The 9,187-nt window shown below is 40.0% G+C and overlaps 1 long non-coding RNA gene across 2 annotated transcripts, besides 1 other annotated feature; it reads right to left on the reverse strand.

Moving 5' to 3' along the window:
• Window positions 1–3,950: 3,950 nt before the first annotated feature.
• LOC124901302 (uncharacterized) lies at window positions 3,951–9,179 on the reverse strand. 2 transcript variants are annotated; one of them, NR_190904.1, is made up of 3 exons: window positions 8,803–9,179; window positions 6,298–6,369; window positions 3,951–4,771 (listed from the first exon to the last, which is right to left on the reverse strand). It is a non-coding gene; the product is annotated as an uncharacterized LOC124901302 (long non-coding RNA). The 2 variants fall into 2 exon arrangements; NR_190903.1 differs by lacking the exon at window positions 6,298–6,369.
• Window positions 8,329–8,868: an enhancer, noted in NCBI's record as "H3K27ac hESC enhancer chr6:32935448-32935987 (GRCh37/hg19 assembly coordinates)". NCBI's record gives its function as "activates a minimal SCP1, AML or CMV promoter by ChIP-STARR-seq in naive H9 embryonic stem cells {active_cell/tissue: H9 hESC(naive)}" and the evidence as "EXISTENCE:reporter gene assay evidence [ECO:0000049][PMID:30033119]".

Raw genomic sequence — 9,187 nt, forward strand, 5'->3', positions numbered from 1 at the left:
GCCATCACCACAACCAACAAAATTAAAAATTACTTAACTTCATTTGACCCAATCTGTTCATTTCTCCTAGTTATCTCAAAAATGTGTAAGAGAATGAAGTTTTAAATGAAAAGCAGTGTCTTATAATTTTCAAACCGTGCCATTAGTTTAAAAAAATTGGTGAGTTTTCTATTTTATGTTTCATAAGCTATTGATGGTTCAATAATGAATTCTAATTAGGTATTCCATAGGCAAATAAAGTTAGCAATTGTTACTCTGAATGTATCTCCATCTCAAGATTACAAGAGTACACTCATCACTTTCCCTTCCCAATATATTCCAACTCCTCTCTTATATTTAAGACTTCAGTGAATAACAAGATGTCCACCCGAGCTACAAATGTGGGTCATCGTTGATGACCCCATCTTCCTCAAACCTTCCCATTCAATTGTCCTAACAATTCTACCTTTCTAATAGCTCTTGAATCTTCCTTTCTTTTCCTTCCATTCCTACTGGTCCAGGCCTTCAATGGTTGGTTTTCACTGATTATTGCAACTTTCTTTATAATTGGTCTCTCTCTCTCCAATCTTATTATTTTCCACAGTGCTGCCAGAAGGATATTTTTATTATGCTTAGTTGATCATATTATACTTCTGCATGAAAACCTTCCATGATTGTTAATGATCTACTTTCCTTGTCATGACCCATAATGACCTGAAGTCTACTTACCTACTTCTATATGTCTTTTCAGGTGAAATCTCACTCCTCTCAGGAAGCCTTCCTTGAACCCAGAGTTGAGATTAATAGCCTCTTCAGTACGTTTCCAAAGCACCCTGTGTTGGCCATTATCACTGTTTTAATTGTATTATTATCTTCCATTTATATGTCTGTTTCATAGTCACCTCATCTCTACTGCAAGGTCCTTAGGGGAGGGTGTACTATATATATATATATCTCCACCAAGAGGCCCACTAAGTGACCTTTCACTCGATGAACAAATGGGCTACCAGTCTCTGAAGGTGCTGAACTGAGAATGGAAGAGCCTTCAGGTATTAGATGATGATGGATTGTCCCTTCTAACAGATGTTTCAAAGGTAAATCTTATCAGGTTTATCTATAAGCCATTCTTTTTTTTTTTTTTTTGAGATGGAGTTTCACTCTGTTGCCAAGGCTGGAGTGCAGTGGTACGGTGTCCGCTCACTGCAACCTCCGCCTCCCAGGTTCAAGTGATTCTCCTGCCTCAGCCTCTGGAGTATCTGGGACTACGGGCACGTGCCACCATACCCGGCTAATTTTTTTTTTTTTTTTGTATTTTTAGTAGAGATGGGGTTTCACTGTGTTAGCCAGGATAATCTTGATCTCCTGACCTCGTGATCCACCTGGCTCGGCCTCCCTAAGTGCTTTGATTACAGGCATGAGCAACCACACCCAGTCTCTATGAGCCATTTTACACCTCCACAGCCTTCCCTATATACTCTACTACCCTTCCAATTCCATTCTAGGCCCTTCCCAAGCTCCTTGCCAACTACCATTTTCTTCCTACTCCCTGCCACCTCCTGTTTCAGAGAGCAAACCTAGCCATCCAGCTCCCACATTTACTCTTATTTCTACCTCAGTACATTTCTCCATACCCATATTCATCCTCCCTTTTAGTGACATTACTATGATGCAGCAATCCTTACAACTACTCTACAAGGTTATAATTTATTATCCCCATTATATAAACAAGAAAACTGGGACTCAGAAAGGTTCATTTATTTAGCAAATATTTATTGGCCACCTTCTGTGTCTAGCAGTATGCTCTGTATCAGATACCTGCCATCATCACACTTAAAGTCTAATGAAAATAAAGAGACATTAAACAAGAAAACATACAAATTTATAAACTAAAAGGTCCACACACACACACACACAAAATCTCTTAGAATTGATAAATTCAGTACAGTTGCAGGATACAAAATTATCATATAAAAATTAATGGTGCTTCTGGATACAAACAGTAAACTAGTGGGAAAAGAAATCAAAGAAAGTAATCCCATTTACAATAGCTACAACCCCTCCCCCCACCAAAAAAACAAAATAGAATACCTAGAATAAACCAAGGAGGTGAAAGATCTCTACAAGGAAAACTATGAGACACTGAGGAAAAAAACTGAAGAGGTCACAAAAAAATAGAAAGACATCCTATGTCTTCGGAAGAATTCGTATCGTGAAAATGACTGTACTACCAAAAGCAATCTACAGATTTGTTGCAATTCCTATCAAAATACAAAGATATTCCTTGCAGAAACAGAAAAAACAAACCTAAAATTAATATGGAACCACAGAAAACACAAATAGTCAAGGTAATTCTGAACAAAAAGAACAAAGCTGTAGACATCATACCACCCAACTTCAAAATATACTACAAAGCTACAGTAACTAAAAGAGCACGGTACTGGCATAAAAACAGATACACAGACCAATAGAACCGAATAAAGGACCCAGAAATAATAGATCCACATCTTAACAGCCAACTGATTTTCAACAAAGGTACCAAGATATTCAATGGGAAAAGGACACACTCTTCATTAAATGGTGCTGGGAACACTGAATAACAATATGCAGAAAAATACAACTACACCCCCATCTCTCATCAAATACAAAAATTAAATCAAAATGGATTAAAAACTTAAATGTAAGACCTGAAACTATAAAAGTTACTGTAAGAAAATACTGGGGAAATGCTCAAGACTTTGAGCAAACATTTTTTGGTTTAAGACTTCAAAAGGAGAGGCAATGAAAGCAAAAATACACAAATGGGATTACATCAAGCTAAAAGGCTTCTGCCACAGCAAAGGAAACAATCAACAGAGTGAAGAGACAACCTTCAGAATGGGAAAAAATATGTGCAAACTATCCATCTGATAAGGGTTTAATAACCAGAATATATAAGGAACTCAAACTCAACAGCAAAAATCCTCCAAATAATCCCATTTGAAAATGGGCAAATGATCTGAATAGACATTTCTCAAAAGACATACAAATGGCCAACAGGCATATGAAAAAATTCTCAACGTTACTAACCATCAGGGATATGCAAATCAAAACCACAATGAGATATCATCTGAATCTAATTAAAATGGCTATTATCAAAAAGACACAGATAAGAGATACTGGTGAGGATGCAAAGAAAGGGGAATGCTCATATACTGATGGTAGAAATGTAAATTAACATAGCCACTATGGAAAACAGCATAAAGGTTCCTCAAACAACTAAAAATAGATCTACTAGATGATTCAGCAATCCCACTGCTGGGTATATATCCAAAAGAAAGGAAATCAGTGTATCAAAGAGATGTGTACATGCCCATGTTTATTTCAGCACTACCCACAGTAGCCAAGACATGGAATCAATCTAAGTGTCTATCAAGTGACTGGATAAAGAAAATGTGGTGTATATATATACAATGGATACTAGTCAGCCATAAAAAAGAATGAAATCCTGTCATTTCCAGCAACATGGATGGAACTGGAAGTCATTATGTTAATGAAATAAGTCAGACACAGAAAAAAAAATATCACGTTCTCATAAGTGGGAGCTAAAAAAGTTGATCTTATGGAGGTAGAGGGTAGAATGATGGTTACCAGAGACTGGGAAAGGGAGGGGGTGGAGGGGGGATGAAGAGAGATTCATTAATGGTTACAAAAATATAGTTAAATTGAAGGAATAAATTCTATAGTGTTTGATAGCACAGCTGGGTGACTACAGTTAACATTAATTTACTGTATATTCCAAAATAGCTAGTAGATTTGAAGTGCTCCCAACAGAAGGAAATAATAAATGTTTGAGGTGATGGATATCCTAATTATCCTGATTTGATCATTACACATCGTATGCATGTATCAAAATATCATATGTACCCCATAAATATGTACAATTATTATGTATCAATAAAAAATAAAAAAAAACAATTCAGAAGTCCATAAACTTGGATGGAATAAAAAAAAGTCAACTTTATTTTCAAAAAACTCTCACTGAAATCTAATTTTATGAATGTAGAAAATAAATCTTTGTAGTACCAGCCAGCAGCTGTAACACTGTCATCAATAGAAAACACCATCAATTAATATTTTCATATCACATTATAGTTGTTACAGACATCTTAAAATATCACTTACAATTATGGGAGCTGTTAAACTTGCCAAAAAATCATGCTTTTTAATGTATTAGTAAAGAAACACTGTATTGTATTAATACAGAAACACATACTACTAGATCATCACACGTTTCTTTGAATATAGTAGTGTCCCCCACACAGCACCAAATGTGATTATACAGTTTATTCCTATCCATAGATATACCTATGATAAAGTTTAATTTATAAATTTGCACAGGAAGAGATTAACAACAAAATAGGACAATTATATTGTAATAAAAGTTATGTGAATATGGTCTTTCTGTCTCATACACAAAGTATCTTATTGTACTTATTTTCAGACCAGGTTGACCTTGGGTAACTGAAATCACAGAAATTGAAACTGCAGTTAAGGGGGGACCACTGTATTTTGATAACTATAGTTTATATTTTATTTTATGCATTTACAAATATTATCAGACAAGATCCAAAGGCTTCACCAAACTGCCAAAAAAGCTAATGGCACATAAAAAGCTTAAGGAGTCCTGATTTAATCAGTCATTCAATGAACATGACATCCTTCCTGGAACCATCTCCTGTTCTAGCTTCCTCACATTATGTTGCTCTGCTTCTCCTTGAGATCTTCCATTGGTTCCACTTCCTATTCTTGCTTCCTGTATGAAGATGTAACCCAAAGCTCAATCCTTCACCCTAAATTGTTTTTATACCCCCTCTTTTACAAACCTCAGCTACCTTCGTGGCTGATTCAAACATCACCTCAAAGGTGACTCTCAAATCTGCTTTTCCTAATCTTTTTTCTCTAACTTCAATCTTGGATCTTAAACTCCCTGCTGTGCCTAGTAAACAGAATAATATGCCACCCAGAGTCAGCTGGGTTCAAATCCCAGTTCTGCTACTTACTAAAGGTGTGACCTTAGGTAAATATTACCTGCTATGGTTTGAATCTCTCCTCCAAAACTCTTGTTGAAAATAATTGCCATTTTGACAGTTTTAAGAAGTGGGACCTTTAAGAGTTAATTAGGTCATGAGGGCTCTGCTCTCATGAATGGATTAATGCTACTAATGTAGGTATGGGTTCCCATTTAAAAGGGGACATTCTGAGGCCGGGCACAGTGGCTCACACCTGTAATCCCAGCACTTTGGGAGGCCGAGGCAGGTGGATCATGAGGTCAGGAGATGGAGACCATCCTGGCTAACACGGTGAAACCCCGTCCCTACTAAAAATACAAAAAATTAGCCAGGCTTGGTGGCGGGCACCTGTAGTCCTAGCTACTTGGGAGGCTGAGGCAGGAGAATGGTGTGAACCCGGGAGGAGGAGCTTGCAGTGAGCCAAGATTGCACTACTGCACTCCAGTCTGGGCGACAGAGCGAGACTCCGCCTCAAAACAAACAAACAAACAAAGGGTACATTCTGGCCTCTATTCTCTCTCCATCTCATGTGCTTGTTTGCCTTTCTGCCGTGGGATGATGCAGCACAAGGCTCTCACCAGATGCCAATGCCATGCTCTTGGACTTCCAAGCAACTGGAACTGAGCCAAATAAACTACTGTTTATAAATTACCCAGTCTGTGGTATTCTGTGATAGCATCAGAAAACAGACTAAGACGTCCTTTGCTTCTGTTGTTTCATTTGAAAACTGAGGGTGATAATATTAGTATTGACTTTATAGGGTTATAAGGATTAAAAGAGTTACTACATGTACTCATTGCAGTACCTGACACATTTTAACTACTCAATAAATGTTTTGTATCACCAATCACATCTCCTTCCAACCCCGACATTTTAATTTGATGTTTATTAACATGGACGGTGCCAGCCACTGGAAGACAGAGTTTCTATCTAACAACATAATTCTGATCAAGTCATTAGTCAAAAAATTTCAGTGGTTCCCCACTGATTCCAAACTTAACAGCACTGGAAACCTTCTATAATGTGTTCTCTAATATAAATTTACCTCCCATTTTCTCTTCTCCTGCTCTACTTCTTGTAGCTTATGTTCTGGCCAGACTGGACTAGACTACTCTCTGTGACAATAACCTGTGCTGTTCTATGTCTGTCTTTCCTCACATAATTCTAATGTCTCAGGTTTGAAGGCAATAATTTTGTCTATGATTATTCCCCTATACATGGCACCCCATAAAACATACACATTTCAATCTTACCTAAGTCACATACTTACTTACACATCAATTCACCTCCATATTTGCTCAATTTGTGAGAACCTAATATTGGCCAGATACTGTGCTAGGACCTAGGGATATTAAAAAAAAAAAAAAAAGCAAAGCAAGAAAAAGAATGCATAATGGCCCTGCTCTCAAAATCAAGGTCTAGTACTAGAGAGAAACATGTAATCACATAAATGCCATTCACTGTGGAAAGTAAAATCATAAGGGGAAGGGACACCAAAGAATGAGCAGTTAGCTCAACTTGAACAGTAACATTAAGCTTTTCAGAGATGTTATTTGGGCGTACATAGATTGGGGAAAAGTCTACTCCATATAGAAAGTGCACATGTGTAAAACACAGAGGCATGAAACAAAATGATGTGTCTGGGAAACAGTTCAATACAGCTGGAATATAGGGCCCAAGAGGAAGTGGTTAGACATGAGGCTGGAAAGCTAGGCAGACTGTTTTGGCAAACATAGGAATTTGGACTTTATCACATAGCCAATAAGGAATAACACAGAGTTTTAAAAAGAGCTATGGCCAGGGCTATATTTTGGAAAGCTCTCTCCTGGCAGTATTGTGGCAGAGGCAGAGAGGAAAGTCTAAAGCAGCACTGTCCAACAGAACTTCTTGTAATGAGGCCGCGCGCAGTGGCTCACGCCTGTAATCCCAGCACTTTGGGAGGCTGAGGCGGGCGGATCACGAGGTCAGGAATTCGAGACTAATTTGGCCAACATGGTGAAACCCCGTGTCTACTAAAAATACAGACACTAGCCGGGTGTGGTGGCAGGCGCCTGTAATCCCAGCTACTCGGGAGGCTGAGGCAGAATTGCTTGAACCCGGGAGGCAGAGGTTGCAGTAAGCCAAGACTGCGCCACTGCACTCCATCCTAGGCCACAGAGCAAGACTCCGTATCAGGGAAAGAAAAAAACAACTTCTTGCAATGACACAAATGTTCAATAATCTGTGCTTTCCCATATGACAGCCACTAGTCACATGTGGCTATTGAGAACTTAAAATGTGGCTAGTGTATTGAGACACTAAATTTAAAATTGTATTAATTTAAATCCAAATAGCCATGTGTCTAGCAAATAATTTAGGAGACTGTTGGTATAGCTCAGGTGATAGAATTAGGACAGAAGGGTGAGTTGATGGATAGTTAAGAGGCAAAATTATGAGTCTGTAAGGGTGTGAGAAAAGGAAATCAAGAACAGGCTCCCAGATTACAGACTTTGTGGTTAAACAGCCACCATTACTCAGGACAACAGAAGAGAAAGAGCAGGTCTAGAGTGTATAGTGATTTCATCAATTTTGAACATACTGGTGTCTGAGAGTTATCCCAGTGGGAATATTTAGTAGAAAGTTTAGCTTAGAGAGCTGTCTGAACTAAAGATTCAGACTTCAGAGGCTTTGAGCCATGGAGTCAGATTACCTAGAGAAGTTGAACAAAATTAGAAGCAAACAAGAATCACAGCAAATATCAACACATAAAAAGGGGCTAAGGAAGAAAAATCTACTGAGACTGGAGAGGAACAGTTACACAAATAGGAAAAGAAACAAGTGAGAGTGGTATAGAAGTCAAGGGTAGAGAGAATGTCAGGAAGGAAACATGATCAAATGTCGAATGCCTCAGAGGTCAAATAAAGTGAGAACTGTAAAGTGCTTCCTGACTTTGCCAGTTAGGAGGTTCTTGGTGACATCTGCCAGAAAAGTTTTGGTGGTAGCAGCCTGACAGAGGTAGCTTGAAGAGTGGGGATGGGGAAAGAGAATGTGACAAAGAATTGAGATAGTAAGGATAATTTCAATTTCAGGTCTTGGCTGTGCAAGGAAGCCGAGAGACATGAGTCTCTAAGAGGGCACGATATTGAGAGGGTTGTTATCTTTCTGTCAGCGGGGAAACCAAGAGAAAAGTTTAAAAAGGTCAAAAGGGGGAGAAGGGAAGACAGCTTCCGGGTAACAGAGAAGGTTGACCAGGTCAATAGTAAAGGATTTCCTCAAACCGAAGGGAGGACCTCTAGTGAAATGAGAAAGGAATACACAATTGACCCAGTTTGCAGGTGGGAAATGGGAAGCCAGTTCTGCAAATTGGCCTTTCTGTTCTGTGAAGTGCCATCTGTCGGTGAGGAGAGATTAGGGTCTGCAGCGTGAAAATCTGGACCATACTCTGGGTAATCAAGGGAGAGGTTATCGGCTAATGACAAATTAAAGGCTTACTTTTTAGCTGGCAACTGAATCACCATAACATTTTATGTTACCAGTTCCAAAATTTTGGGGGGAATTCACTCAAGCTTGGGAGAGGAGAGATCATAACTTTAAGAGTATAAGAGGTTTAAACGGTCCACTACGAAATAAATAGAGAAGGAAAAGTTATCAGCTGGTAAATATCGTAGAAGGTAGAGCGGTCCAGGGACTCACAGGTCTCACTAAAGAAAAGTCTAGCGTAGGTTCACGGCACGGAGAGATTTTAAGGCTGCCTAAGACTAAAGCCAAATACGAAGTCCACATCTGCGGTCCGCACCTTATCTCTCCGCGCGGCAGGCGCGACGAGGGCGAGAAACTCCCTCTCCAGTGGTCGCACCACACGACACCAGGGAAGGGGCCCCTCTCTCCAGACCCTCATATCTCCAGGTCCAGGCCCCATTTTCCTCCGCTGACAGCTCAGCAGCGTGCGCTTCCGCTGGATTCAGGCCAGGACCAGCGAAGCCGCACCTTACACCCACCGAGGAGGAAACAAGCCTGGCCACCCGAGGCTACCCCGCTAGGCCGCGGGTAGTGGGGGAGGGGGCGCTGAGGCAGGAGGTCAGCACCCGGGCGCGGGCTCCCGCCCCACGAAAAGCGCGCGCTCCAAGCCCCGCCGCCGGAGATGCGGTTCCGGTCCGGACGCCTGCGCACTACGGCTCTCC

The sequence above is a fragment of the Homo sapiens genome, chromosome 6, assembly GCF_000001405.40.
Source record: "Homo sapiens chromosome 6, GRCh38.p14 Primary Assembly".
Taxonomy (NCBI): domain Eukaryota; kingdom Metazoa; phylum Chordata; class Mammalia; order Primates; family Hominidae; genus Homo; species Homo sapiens.